Here is a 15,221-nt window from a genome sequence, read left to right as displayed (position 1 = left end):
TTGGGAGAGCACAGTTTTGTTGGTGACCTTTGGTAATGGTGAGTGCTTATTTACTAGTAAGTGCCATGTACGTAGTTAGCTCATTTAATCTTCACCTTATCCCTATGACGTGGGTCCTATTATTGTCCTCAGTTTACAACTGTCCGCAGTGCCCTAGGGTGGCTTACAGAGGTTAAATAAGGAGCTGCAACCAGTGAGGAGTGGAGGTGCCAGGCTTTGCTCCAGGCCCTTCTGATTCCAAAGCCCGAGCTCTCAAGACCCTTCTGGGAGCTTGATTCTGCAGGTGGAGAGGAAGCGAGACCACAGGAACTAATGGGGGCCCAGGTGGAGAGGCGAAGTCCGGAAAGGCAGACAGCGGGTCGGAAGTTTGGTTGTGAAGGAAGGGAAAACCTGCTGACTCACCCAGGTCACAGGCAAGTGGGTTTTTTTTGTTTTTTGTTTTTTGTTTTCAGAAGGGGCAGACTTTTTTTTTTTTTGTCTTTAAGAATCAGGCTCTCGCTCTGTCACCCAGGCTGGAGTGCAGTGACATGATCATAGCTCATTGCATCCTTGAACTCCCGGGCTCAGGAGAGCCTCCCAACACCGCAGCCTCCCAAGTATCCAGGACAAGAGGCGTGCACCACCACACCCGGCTAATGCTTTCATTTTTTGTAGAGACAGGGTCTTGCTATGTTGCCCAGGCTGGTCTCGAACTCCTGGGCTGAAACGATCCTGCAGCCTCAGCCTCCCAAAGTGCTGAGATTCCAGGGTGAGCCACCGTGCTTGGCCCAAGAAAAGGCAGACTTCTTATTTAGAACTTGTAAGAGAGAAGAGTGCAAGATGCTGGGGGAGAAAGGAGTAAAAATCGTGCCTGGTAGGGATGGATATTCTGGGCCTGCCCTTACGCTGGACCTTCGGGACATCTGGTAAACCAGGCAGTGTATGGTTTGTTTAAAAACCGAGCTATACAGTGGAGTGATGCCTTTGAAGTCATGTTATTAAGGTGGGAGTTTGCCAGGTGGGATTATGAAGGAGGAGGTTATTTCCCCTCCTTCCGTTAGTGACTTTTTGAGGATTTTGGGGGGATTGATTCCAAGTAGTGTATAAATAAGCTGATGAGAACACCCACCATGTTTCAGAGCCGACCACTGTTGACTTTTCCAAGCACAGTCACGTCTACTTGCATGATCCTCTGCTTCCAGTCCTGTGTTCCTTCTGCTCTCTACCCTCTTCCGCTTTGGATTCCTTGGGTGTTGTCCTGTGTGGCTTTTGTCTGACTTGATTGCTATCGTAGCAGCAGATGCAAACTTACCTTGAGAGCTGAACGTCCACAGGCACCTCAGGGCTGGCTTTTGCAGAGCTGTTTAGTACAAGGGAGTGGAGGGTTCTGGTGCACTTGAAAAAAAAGCACACATTTAGAGCTCCAATAAGGGAAAGGAATTTGTTCTCATTATTTCATTAGTGTGCACGTGCAGAATTCTTGGGCTGGATGAGATATTCAGCCACCTGAAGGGCATTTATGTAAAGCCCATGGTGTGGGGTTGCCCGGCTGGACTCAGGCCAGGGTGATCAGCCAGCCATCCAATGCAGGGCCTCAGGTGGCCAGAGGCCATGGCAAAACTTATCTGCAGAGAATTCATCTACAATGTCCTCTGGGCTCCTGTTCTTGGGCCAGTCACTGAGGCAGAGCTTTTCCTAAGAAATAATTATGAAAGAGGTAGCATGATTCCTCCCTGGTGAAAGCCAGGCATTGATTCTTTTGAGCACCCCCTCAGAGGAGGAGAGTGTAGAATCCACGCAGTGCAGCATTTTACAGAGACAATGATGCAGCTCTGCGTAGCCCCAAAGCTATTGTCTGCAGGTGGAAGCATTTCCTAAAGGCAAGCCAGATGGGCCGGTACCGTTTCCTTGAAGGAAAATGGAAGGAGCTGAATACCCAGCAGTGCACCCTGGGCAGAAATGTGCTTTAAAACAGGCCAGTTTAAAGAAGCAGGGGATGAATGTATTCGGCAGCTGAACATGAATGACCCTAGCATTAAAGAAAGTAGGCAGAGGGTAGAATTTCAGCTAAGAGAAGGGAGGGGAAAGGAAGTGTTCTCAATTCTTTTTTCTTTTCTTCTTCCTAGCAAGAACCAGTTGAGTCATCTCTGGGGCTTAGTAATGGAGTAAGTGATCTTTCTCCTGAGTATGCGGTCCTGACTTCAACTATAAAAAATGAAGTGGATAGTACGGTGAACATCATAGGTAAACTGTTTTGACGTCTCATTTTTTATACATACCAGCAGCCCCCTGGGGCCTAAAATTTGTAAAACAGAGAACTTCAAATAACATAGTCAGTGGGAGGAGGTCTTGGAATCATCTCAGAATGCAAGTTCCAGCCCCCAGATTTCAAGGCTGAGAAACGAAGGCTTTTGAGGATCAGATAAAGGAACTTAGACGGGTCAGCCTCCGTGGAAGAAGGCTGGGGTGACCTCCCAGGAAAAATGTTTGTTTCCCGGCGGCTCGTGGCTAGCGATCCCAGTCTTTCACTATTTGGTTCACGTGGGCAAAAGAGTATTTATTTAACTCGGGAACCAAGGAGAGGGAAGATGGTCCTCGCGAGTCCTCTCAGCAACTGCTTCCTGGCAGACAGAGAAACTGAGGCACAGAGACATGTTGCCAAAGGGCCCACTCTGATTCAGCAGATATTTTTGAGCACCTTCTGTATATCAGACTCAGTACTAGGAGCAGGAAATAGATGGAGGAGGCCCAATTTCTTTTCTCATGGAGGGACAGAGATAGTAAACAAAGACACCCCCAGATAACTGCAGTGTTACCATGTGTGGTAAATACTGCAAAAGAAAAGAAAGGCGAGAGAAAAATCAAGGCACCAAATTTAGATTGGAGGTCTCAGAGGAGCAGTGTTTTCCCTCCTTCGTAACAGTTGAACAACTTCCAGATGTAGCTAGCTGCACCCCCTGTAAAGATGCAGGCTCTTTACAATGAAGACACATCTTCTGATGTTCCTTCTCTCCTGTATGGCCAGATGCACAGGAATAGTGCCCAAAAGACCTCAGCCTGCTTTCCCTTTAAGGGGAAGGAGAAGAAAAAACTCCTTTTTATTTTTACTTTCTTTCAGCATTGAATTTTTGTTGTGTGTATGGTGACTTCTGTTTTTGGGAAACGGAAGAAGCCAGCAGCATGCTGAATTGTCCTGACAGGCCTCCGCTGGCCTCTTGCCGAGGTTAGCAGTGCTTTTTTTGTATTTAAACCATCTCCCGGGCAGTGTAAAAAGTTTGCAGGTGCGGACATTCTGTCTGACTGGTCTCGGCAGTGCTCTATAACCCTGTTGTGTTTCTTGATAAAACACAGCCCCACCCTTTAATAAAGCAAAGATTGCTATGAAACCAGAGAGTCTATTCATTACTGTGGAGTAACTAGAGCAGTCTGTAGTGACTAGACATACGGCAATTAGGAAGTCATGGAGTTGGGATTTTTGTCTTAATTTTGGCTGCTCAAAGTGCCCCCTGTAGGATATTCTTTTTTCGGGAATTGTTTCCAAACTTGCCTGTCTTTATCTATGGTGAAACTCAAGCCGCTTTTTAAGGCAAGCCTGCAAACCCAAGTATCAACATGGGCTCCTGAAGGCACAGGAGAGCAGATTCACAGCTTACTGACCAGTGTTAGGGTCCCCACGAGGGCCACCCATTTGAACTCAAGGTTGGCAGACTCTGGCCCCAGCACTTGCCGTGGTTTCAGGATGGCCAGCGGTGACACAGGGCTATGGAACCCTGGGTCTTCATCTCTTCCCATATCCTTTGTTTCACCTTCTTTTTGCCATATTTTATTGTGCTTCAGATAGAAATTTTATTTATAAGATAAAAAGTAGCTCTGAGGCTGGGCGCGGTGGCTCATGCCTGTAATCCCAGCACTTTGGGAGGCCGAGGTGGGTGGTTCACGAGCTCAGCAGATCAAGACCATCCTGGCCAATATGGTGAAACCCTGTCTCTACTAAAAATACAAAAATTAGCTGGGCGTGGTGGCAGGTGCCTGTAGTCCCAGCTACTCAGGAGGCTGAGGCAGGAGAATCGATTGAACCCAGGAGGCGGAGGTTGCAGTGAGCCAAGATGGCACCACTGCGCTCCAGCCTGGGTGACAGAGGGAGACTGCCTCAAAAAAAAAAAAAAAAAGATAAAAAGTAGCTCTGGGTGAGTCTTTAGATGGAAGGCACCACCTCTTAGGAGATCACCCATGCTGTCAGCTGTGCCCATGCCTTCTTCCTGGAAGCTGAGTTGTTCACCCCTTAGGAGAAGGGGCCTGAGACAAGGCATTCGATTTTATCCACACCCCTAGAATGCTCTTAGCAAGATGAAACTCCATATGAGATGTGAACCCTTACATCGCAATATGCCCAGACACAGAACCCACAACAACATACTTTATTCTTGGCTGTATTGGACCTGGAGCACCTGGGCACTGAGGTGAGACTGTGGGGCCACTCCTCAGTCACCAGGTGCCAACCGAGAGACCTGGGCAGTGGAGTTGGGCTGCTGTGTTTTCAGCCTTAAGAAGTTTTTATTTACTCAAGAAAGCTGTCATCTTTGTGTGAGGCTATATATTATTTTCTCCTTCCCTCTCTCCCTGGCTGCCGCTGCCTCGTTTATAATTAGCTGTCAGCTCCTCCTATCTTCCCTCACCGTACTTCTCAAGTCCATCCCCTTGTTTCTGACACTGTGTGTGGGCCTGCCTTGGCTGTCACCTGGGCTCTGCTTCCATTCTGCTCCCCATTTCTTCTTCTCACAAAATAAAGAATGCCAGTGTCATCATGTCACCACTGCCCCTAAGAGAAGGAGCTGAGTTCCCCCAGGTCCCCGGGGTCTGGCATGATCTAGGCCCTGCCCACTGCTTTCATACCTGTCTTTGAACTTGAATTACTCTGAACGAGTTAAGCTCCCTGTGGCTGCTCATAGAGACAGTGAGGTTGGTGGTGGGTCTCCTTATGGTGGAGCAGCTGCAAAGGCTTTGTCCACAGGGCACAGTGAGGGGTGGACACGTGGCAGTTCCAGCAGGAGGTATAGCTCCAGCCCAACACGTCTCATCCACACTTCCGCTCCCAGATCATTGACCCTTGAGACACTGGTTACCTCTACTGAGTTTTGTTTTGTTTTGTTTTGTTTTTGAGACCGAGTTTCACTCTGTTGCCCAGGCTGGAGTGCAGTGGCACAATCTCGGCTCACTGCAACCTCCGCCTCCTGGGTTCAAGCGATTCTCCTGCCTCAGCCTCCCAAGTAGCTGGGATTACAGGGATGCGCCACCATGCCTGGGTAATTTTTTTTGTATTTAGTAGAGATGGAGTTTCACCATGTTGGTCAGGCTGGTCTTGAACTGCTGACCTCAAATGATCCACCTACCTCGGTCTCCCAAAGTGCTGGGATTACAGGTGTGAGCCACCGCGCCTGGCCTCTACTGAGTTTTTACTGGGATACATCCTGTGCTTCCCTTCGTGTAGTAGCCTGAGATGCTGTTTTCTCACGGGGTGCAAGGTGCACGCTGCCCTGTCCCACTCTTGCCTCCTCCTGCACTCTGTCACCCTGGTGAGGTGTATGCAGCCTGTAGTCAGGGACAGCCTGGCCCAGGCACCTACAGATCCCTGTCTCGGAGTCACCGGCCCCGCGGTGATCTTCTCTCCCACCATGGCTCTCGAGTGCCTAAACCAAATCATGGCTGTATTTTATACCGAAAGAGCACGAGATTAGAAGTCAAAAGGCGTGGGTTCTAGACCTGCTTCTGAAGTTTTTTATTTACCATGTGATTTTGGGCAAACTCCTTAATCTTTTGAAATTCAATTTCTATATAGATTGGAAACAATATATAATTATTTATAAAATGGAAATATTTAAAATTATATAGAAAATGGAAATAATCGTACTGATCCTGCCCATCTCGCAGAGTTATTGTGAGGATGAAGTGAAATGTACAGATAAATCACTCTGGGGCTAGAAGGGGGTAAAATGATATGATTATCATATTACCAAAATCATATTAAAATATATTTGATTAAGAAAAGTAGCCTCCATCTGTGCCATGTCATCAAGGCTGGTGTGAAGTTTAACTCCTGAAACTTTCAGAGGGGTCAGGGGAAATTTCCCTGCATGATGCTCTGCTGATGGCCTGATTTTTTATGCCTGCTAGTAAGTTTCATTCTTGACTCTGCAGCTACCTGGGTGACCTTAGCAATTTACCTGAGCTCTGGGTTTCAGCTTTTTTCAACTGTAAAATGGTAGGACCAAACCACCTCCAAGGACCCCTCTGTTTCTAATAATCTGCTTTTAAGCACTTTCTCTGAGGCATGGGAGCAAGTTGCTTTCTCAGGTGGAGACCTACATTAAGTCAACAATTGCTAATAAAGTGAGAATGACCTTTTAAAGAAGCAAACCGGTTCATCAGTAACCAGCCATAAATAATATTGTTATAATTCTCAGCAACTAGATTCAGATAAAATTGCATTCCTGTGGGTGACTCTTTTCAGATGTGCTGACTTTAATAAACTGGAGAAACTTAGTGGATTTCTAGTTCTTCTGTTTGAGAATTTCCCTGGCACACAATAGATAACTGTTGAAAAGAAATGTCACTATTAGTTCTGAGCCTGGAGACTCACTAAGGTGAGATTCAAAAGTTTTTATCCTGAGAGGGGCTAAGAAAGCCCTCAGTAACTCAGTTTGGACTTCATTAACTCTCTCTGTTAGGGAGAGCATATTATAAAGAGTTGAAATTTGGAGTTGGGTAAGGCTAACATTGAATCCCGGTTCTGCTGCTGATTGTCTGTCTGACCTTGAATTAGTCATGTAGTTCTGTCTTGTATGGTTGTTTCAGCATGTCTAGAATGGGGATCACTATTGTGCCTTCCTCATGGGTTGTGAGGTCTTGGGAGGTGGTAGGGAGAGGCAAAGATCAGTGCTCAGAAAGACAGGTTTTGTCATTATTCAGTCAGGACACTCTTTGGTACCCAGAGGAGTGCCACTTCTGACTGTTTACTGTAGCAGGTAAGTTTGTTATTCCTGTCTTTTCACCTGTCAGGAGTCAGTGTTGCTGTCTGTTTTGCCGCTTGGTGGTCCAGGGAAATCAGTTCACATGTCGAGAGAGAGAGAGAGAAACAGATAGAGACTGGTTAGTGAGAGTGTTGATGCTCATCTGAGAGCATTTCGATATTGGGATTTCCCTGCTTCTCTCATGGGCTTTCACTCGAGAGCTGGAAAGTTTCTAAAGTACCCACGATGTCTGGATGGAGAGAAGCCATTGTCCCTTACCAGGGCATAAAGCAACACACTCCTATGGGGGAATTTGGCCTGAGAGATAACGTAATTATATTAACTTGGTATCCAGATCATAGCCCAGAAAACAGACTGACTTTTCTCTCCTGGTCAGCCGCATTCAGGATACACCTAAAATCTGCATGGACGTGCTTATCTACTTTTTTCCCCAAGTCATGTATATTAAGTGAAATACGGTAAAATTCACCCCTTTTAAGGCACACGGTCCTATAAATGTTGACAGACGCACTCAGTGATGTAACTACCACCATAGTCAAGACAGAACATTTTCATCACCCCAACACGTTTCCTCCCTGGCCCCAGCCCTCGCACCCACAGCCGGCTGTCTTTATCACTTCCCAAAGGTTTCAAGAGTCCACTTGTCAGAAGTCTTGACATTTTTCTAGAAAACATTAATTGTCACGTCCCGTATTTGCAGATTGTCACAATCCCCTGCAGGACTCCACTCTGGCTCCAGTCAGTGAGCCTCGGCCCCATCACATGTCCATTTATTCAGGGGAGAGTCCCTGAGCGCCTCTCCGGTGGGAGTTGTGAGCATGTGTCATGACTGGACACAAAAAGTTCATACTTTGGTTGAGGAGAGATGCCATTGACCAACTCAAAGCTCCATACGGGTATATAGCGTTAACCAGCAACTTGAGGTCAGAAGTGTCACAAGGTCGCGGCCCATCGTAGTTTCGGCCGAGTGACGGGGACAGTGAGTGAGAGGCACCCAGGGGAGAGAGGCCAGTCTGTGCTGGCGGGTCAGGAAGGGGCTCCAGAAGTCAGGGGCATGGTGAATGCTGCCTGTTGCTCAACCCCCACTCCTGTGCCACTACCTCATTGAAGCCTTTGATTCCTCAAACTGGAAAAAACACCCCACTTCTCTAGCTTCCATTGTATGGCCCCCTTCTTTTTCTTTTCTTTCTTTTCAGTGCTCACGGCCTTAAACTGACTCTCTAGATGGTTAGTCGCTGGCCTATAGCCATGTATATGAACTTCTTACAAACCGGATCCTTGACTGCATCGATCTTCCGCTGCTCCTTCTAGCCCTGGGAGGCTGGGAGGTGCAAGCAGGTGTTCCATAAATCTCTGTTAGTTGAATAACCGACTAGGACGTCATGGGGAGAAGCAGTGAGAGAAAGAATTCCTGGTTGGAACAAAGGGATCTGACTAGGGGGATACTTGAGCTGCTGCCATTGTTTGTAGTCCCAGCTGGCTTGCCCTCTTTCTGTTAGGAGCAACGTGCAAAGGAGAGATGAGTTTTGAAATATTGGAAGTTAAAATGGCTTTGACTTAAGTCACATTTATCTAAGACCTTCACTGCCTTAGTATGCAAGGTATCGCTGCGCCCTCCCTCCTCAAACTCTCACACCCCATTTGGTTTCTACCTCCACCCACCAGCTGCTTCTTAGGACTTAGGATAGGGCAGGCCATTATCTTGTTTTCCTGCCATTTTATTTTACTTGGCTGGAAGAGGCAGAGGAAACTAGAGAGAGGTTGGTGTAGGTCAGCGTCAGTCTGTGTCTAGTGACCTGCATAATTGATGTCCTCACCCTCACGTAGGATAATCCAAAGGATGAAATAAATGGGCTTGGGAGTCTGCCTGCCATATATAGCCTGCCTGCCTTTTCTTTAATTTTATCCCCACCAGGAAAACCTAAACAGGATCCGGTTTCCCTTCCATTCTGTATGCTGTGGCTTTTGGACTCTTGTATCACAGCCCCAAATCCCCTTTCTGAGCCTCTTTTGTGCCTTTCCTTTCTTTATTAAAGAACCTATGAATTGCCACTGCCCTCTAAAACCTTCCCTGCGTAGAAATCAGATAATGTGCTTGTCACTCCACAGACAGCAATTAAAACAGGAACCTGTTTATAAACAAAAATACTTCAGAAAATAAAATACTTGGAGTGATTAAAACGAGCCTCTCCATGACGCCTGGCGTCTCAAGGAGACTGGAATGCGTTCTAACCTGAATACTTTGCCGATTGGTGAGAAAATGACTGCAACATAGAGCACCACATATACTCCAAGCTGTGCGAGTCTGGACAAGTCACTCTCCCTCTCTGTGCCTGAGTTTCTTCATCTATAACAGGATAACGATGCTTTCTCTGTCATCCTTATGGGTTAAAATGTTAAAATAACAGATACAGGTATGAGTAAAACGTTGATGATGGTGGCAAAGTGCTTTGAGGACCTTGGGAATTATTTCTTCACCTTTATTTATTGAAGCTAATTTTCAGGGACATTTCATCCAACTAACAGTGGTATGAGGTCAGTTTCATTCAAAATGAGGGCAGGACCTTAGGGACCTTCAAATTAAAATGGCCATGAAACATCATGACTTACCTATGAGAATGGCCAAAATAAATAAACAGTGATGACACGAAATGCTGCCGAGGCTGTGGAGAAATTTGATCACTCAGACACTGCTGGTGGGAATGTAAAATGGCACGGTCACTCCGGGAAGCAGTTTGGCAATTTTCTTGTAAAATTAAACATGAAATTACCATATGACTCAGCAATTGCATTCTTGGGCATTTATCCCAGAGAAATGGAAACTTATATTCATACAAAACCTGAACACAAACATCCATAGCAGCATTATTTGTAATAGTCAAAGGCTTGTAGCAACTCAGACATCCTTCAGAGGGGAGAATAAACACACTGGTACACCTATACCGTGGAATACTACTCGGCAATTGAAAAGGAACCGATGACTGATACACACAACAACTTGGGTGACTCTGCGGTGAATTATGCTGAGTAAAAAAAAAGCCAGCCCCAAAAGTCTACTGTATGAGTCCATTAATATAACATCCTTGAAATGAACAAATTAATGAAATGGGGAACAGATTAATAGTTGCCCAGGGGTCATGGACAAAGAGATGGATGGGGAGGTACTGAAGGAAGGTGGCTATGGTTACAAAGAGTAACGTGAGAGAGATTGGTCGTGATGGAACTGTTTGGTGTTTTGACAGTGGTGGTAGGTACATGAACCTTTATGTGTGATAAAATTGCACTTAGTCCTGGTGCAGGTACACACTCACACAAAAGAGTGCAAGTAAAACTGAGGAAATCGGAACAAGATGGGTGGATTGTTATTTATGTCAATACTCTGGTTGCGATATTGTATTCTAGCTTTGTAGCCTATAACCATTGGAAGAAGTTGAGTAAAAGGCACACAGGATCTCTCTGTATTATTTCTTACAACTGTATGTGAGTTTACAATGATCTCAAAATAAACAATATAAGAAAAATATTTGAGGCAGTTTTCAGAGCCAGGGTGGTCAGAATCCATCTTATCAGTGTTCCGGGGAGCTGATGCTACTAATGTTTGCCAGAATTGGAGATCTGACTCTATTCCATTGTGCTGATATTTCAGCCAGTTGGACATGTTGCCTGTAGAGCAGGAAGAGAGCTGGGAGCGTAAGCAGAGCGCCACCCAGCTAGATGGGGACCTTGGGCATTTATCCCAGAGAAATGGAAACTTATGTTCATACAAAACCTGAACACAAACATTCACACAGCTAGATGTGACACAATTGGGTAGATTTTCATGGCCCTTCCTCTTTAGTAAGGTTTGATAATGTCTCCCTGGATTGTAGAACCCAGAAAATAAGCACAGCGCCTTCTTTTGGAGCAAGAGCAGGGAGCAGAAATCGGTCAGGTTCAAAGTACTGTCATGTCTGGCCCTGGGGCTGGGGCTGGATGCCGCCTCTGGTCCTGTGGCCTCGGCTGTGACGGGGTTGACTGTGGAATTCTGCTGAGCTGGAAAGGACATGGCCACCGTGCGTGCCATTGGCAGGCATGCTGGAGATAGACCTGGGGAGCCAAGTGCTGGCCGGCTGCTCCCTGGGAGACATCACACCAGAGCTACAGAGCTCAGGCGTGTTCTTCAGCCCCATGGCAGGGGACAGATGGTGATGGGAGCCTGGCGACCTGGCTCTTTTGGGGAAGACTCTTTCTTGAGAAAGTGTGCTAGAATTGTGAGGTCAGCAGACTTTGCATGATGGCTGTCTTTTCTTTGAAGTTGTAGGACAGTCCCATCTGGACAGCAACATTGAGAATCAAGAGATTGTCACCAATCCGCCAGACATTTGCCAAGTTGTAGAGGTGACCACTGAGAGCGACGAGCAGCCGGTCAGCATGAGCGAGCTCTACCCTCTGCAGATCTCCCCCGTGTCTTCCTATGCAGGTAAGCGTCAGCGGGAGGCTCCGGGAGGCGTGGGAACCGGCCGCGCAGTCCTTTGGTCTAGGGTCACCCATCTCACCACCCCACGGAGCATCCCTCCTCTGTCCTAGGAGTTATTCTCCCTGGAGTTTTTCATACTTTAATTATCTTGATCAACATCTTCTTGGACACTTTTGTTCTCAGGTAGAGGACAGGATCACAGCATTTCTTTACTCAGTTGGCCATGACATTTTTTATTTATTTATTTATTTTTTTTTTTTTTGAGACAGAGTCTCGCTCTGTCTCCCAGGCTGGAGTGCAGTGGGATGATCTCGGCTCACTGTAACCTCCGCCTCCCAGGTTCAAGAGATTCTTCTGCCTCAGCCTCCTGAGTAGCTGGGATTACAGGCGCACACCACCATGCCAGCTAATTTTTGTATTTTTAGTAGAGACGGGGATTCACCATGTTGGCCAGGCTGGTCTCGAGCTCCTGACGTCAGGTGATCCGCCCACCTTGGCCTCCCAAAGTGCTGGAATTACAGGTGTGACCCACAGTGCCTGGCCTCCCATAACATTTTTATATATGGTTACAGATAAGATTTCTTTAGGGCAGTAGTTCATCAGAGTCTAATTTATTAGCCCAAGTTATTAGAAATTTGGCAGAGTGTTTTAATGGATTCTCAGTTTGAGCAGGCTGGATAGGACCTTAGAGATGATCTCTTCCTGTTCCTTCATTTCTGAAAGGGAAGGGGCTTGCGCAGGGTCGTACAGTCAGCAAGTGTTTGGGCCAGGACTTGACCTCAGCCTTCAGACCCCAAGCTCATTGCTAGATCCATTCCATCCACCAAGCGTACTTGTCCTTTCCACATATTTTCTCTTTCTTTTTATATCTAGTACAGGTTCTAATTAGGCCAGATGACTGAGCCATTTCCAATTCTCCAGGGACTTGGCTACATAATGACAGGAGTTGGCCCAGGCAGAGTCACAGGGGGAGGAACAGATCCAGTTGGTTCTTCCATTCTTCCAGAGTAAAAGGATGGCTCCTCTCGTTCGCCAACATTACTTCATCTTCTCCTCTCTTCCTGATGATCTCCATTGAATTTTGTGGAAATCAATTGTAATTAGGAAATATAAATTCTGAGTCAGTGTTACTGCTTGCAGATATTAAAAATAAAAAGCAGAGTCCCCATCCTGGGAAACTGCAGTTCAGCTCTAGCAAATAGTTCAGGGATTCTTCCCTGTGCTCTTTACACGCTGCCAAATGGGATGTCCTCCAGTAGGTGCCACCCCCAACACTGGCTCCGACCAGCGTTGGAATTAGAGTTGACTCAAAGGACTGTTGTTTGTGAATTATCAGCCACTAAGTCTAATCTCATTTTCCCTGAATGCCAACTTTCTTTTTTTTTTCACTTTTAAAAATTGTGGTAAAATACATTAACATAAAATTTACCATTTTAGCCATTTTTAGGTACACAGTTTAGTAGCATTCAGTGCATTAATGTTGTCGCAGCCATCACCAGCATCCACCTCCAGAACGTTTTTCATCTTGCGAAACTGAAACTCTGTCTGCATTAAACACTAAGTCCTCTTTTCCCTCCTCCACCCCAGCCCCTGGCAACCTCCTGCCTATTTTCTATCTCAGTGAATTTGGCTATTCTAGGTACCTCCTATGAGTGGAATCATAGTGCTTGTTGTTTTGTGACTGGCTTATTTCACTTAGCATAGGTCCTAGTGTGCATTTATGCTAGGAGCGTAAGTGGAATGTGAGAATAGACCTTGGCCACAGGAAGATTATAATCTGTCAAACAGGATAAGCTTGTCTTCGGTGCTTTATTCAGCAAATGCGTTTTGGACTCTTACACGTGCCAGTCCCTGTTTGGTCCTTGCCAGAGTGCAGTCACAAGAACTACTATGTTTTGCAAATTTATTGTGCCCTGGGAACCATGCTCAGTGCTTGGGTACAGTTGACTGTTGTTGTTGTTGTTTGTTGTTGTTGTTAATAGAAATAGGGTTCTGCCTTGCTGCCCAGGTTGGTCTAGAACTCCTGGGCTCAAGTGATCTGCTCGCCTCAGCCTCCCAAAGTGCTGGGATTACGGGCATGAGCTGCCATGCCTGGTATGATACAGTTGACTTGTTTAATTATAATTAGAGTAACCCTGTCAGCCTGGGTATCGTCATCATCCCGTTTTTAAAAGTGAGGAATCTGGCTGGGTGTGGTGGCTCACGTCTGTAATCCCTGCACTGGAAGGCTGAAGTGGGAGGATCACTTGAGCCCGGAAATTGGAGACCAGCCTGGGCAACATAGTGAGACCACACTTCTACAAAAAATAAAAAAAGTTAACCGGGTGTGGTGGCATGTGCCCGTAGTCCCAGCCACTTGGAAGGCTGAGGCAGGAGCATCCCCTTGAGCCCAGGAGTTCAAGGCTTCATTGAGCCCTGGTTGCACCATTGCACTCCAGCCTGGGTGACAGAGCGAGATCCTGTCTTAAAAAAAAAAAAAAAGAAAAAAAAATATATATATATGGATCTGCGGCTGGCGTGGGTAGAGCAGCGTGTCTGAGGGAGGAACGATTGGGAGCACAGCTAGAACCCATGAGCCGTTGATGCCAAAGGCCGGTCCTTAACGCCCGCCCTGTGTCGCTGCCCTGGACAGCGCACGGGCTCTGCCGTTCAGAACACAGCCACATCCCGTGATCTCATTTGATTTTCACAAGGACCCACCAAAGGAGGCAGAGCAGAATGTTTATGCCTAAATTTTACAGTAGAGCTAACCGAAGCGTGAAACACTCAGCCACTTTGCTTATATTTACATAGTTATGGCTAAAAACCCATGACTTTCTTCTATAGCCTGCTGCTGCAGGCATCGTTACACTCCATGTGGTTTTCTTTCTCTCTTCTTTTTTTAGGGGGTTGGAGCTTTAGAATAGACTTCTATGTTTATCTGTTGAGTAAGACTTTTCTGAGGTCTTCTTGGGGATTCTGGAAAGACCTCTTCTTGCTGTTCTGCCAGCAGTGGCATTTGCTCAAGCAAAAGATTCCGGAGAACAGCAGATCCATGCAGAGAGAAATGAACATTTCATTACTCTCTTCAGGACATTTGCATAGGTTTGAAAGGAAGGATTTCAGTGCCAGGATGGCAGTCAACAGGAGGTTTTGCTGGAGCCTGGCTTTTCAGCCTGGCCTTTGGTTCTTTCCGTTGTTTTCATTGTCTGGATTCTCCAGAACCTCGTGGAGGGAGGCTTACTGGTTGGAGGCAAAATGTTCCATCGCTGCTGATGTTCTAGAGCTCACAGTGGTGTAAAACATTTCCCTGCTACTGACTGTAGCTAATTTTAGTTCCTCCGTCAGAAATTGTATAACATGCTGTCAGGAAAGGCAGCTTTCTGCGTGTATTCACCTTTCTTGCTTTATGTTCTCCAGTAGAGTCGGCCATTTGCCTGTTTTTCATGATGGAGTTCCTTTGTTTGGGCTGTTCATCTGAATTTCAATCTCCTCTGACCACCTTTTTTTTTTTTTTTTTTTTTTTGAGACGGAGTCTCGCTCTGTCGCCCAGGCTGGAGTGCAGTGGTGCGATCTCGGCTCACTGCAAGCTCCACCTCCCGGGTTCACGCCATTCTCCTGCCTCAGCCTCCCGAGTAGCTGGGACTACAGGCACCCACAACCAAGCCCGGCTAATTTTTTTTGTATTTTTAGTAGAGACGGGGTTTCACCGTGTTAGCCAGGATGGTCTCGATCTCCTGACCTCGTGATCCACCCGCTTCGGCCTCCCAAAGTGCTGG

At 46.5% G+C, this 15,221-nt stretch overlaps 1 protein-coding gene across 1 annotated transcript in view, besides 1 other annotated feature; it reads left to right on the top strand.

Moving 5' to 3' along the window:
* Positions 1-15,221, top strand: part of IRF2 (interferon regulatory factor 2) — an 86,822-nt gene that overhangs the window by 64,170 nt on the left and 7,431 nt on the right. The window contains exons 6-7 of the mRNA NM_002199.4: positions 2,106-2,223; positions 11,302-11,466. Coding sequence (NP_002190.2) covers positions 2,106-2,223; positions 11,302-11,466 — 283 coding nt within the window. The remainder of the gene's footprint in view (positions 1-2,105; positions 2,224-11,301; positions 11,467-15,221) is intronic.
* Positions 14,734-14,943: an enhancer, noted in NCBI's record as "active region_22215". NCBI's record gives its function as "activates an Ori minimal core promoter by ATAC-STARR-seq in GM12878 lymphoblastoid cells {active_cell/tissue: GM12878}" and the evidence as "EXISTENCE:reporter gene assay evidence [ECO:0000049][PMID:35858748]".

Source organism: Homo sapiens, chromosome 4 (genome assembly GCF_000001405.40).
Source record: "Homo sapiens chromosome 4, GRCh38.p14 Primary Assembly".
Taxonomy (NCBI): Eukaryota; Metazoa; Chordata; class Mammalia; order Primates; family Hominidae; genus Homo; species Homo sapiens.
Note: the sequence above shows the minus strand (reverse complement) of the source record. Positions and strands in the feature narration are given on the sequence as shown.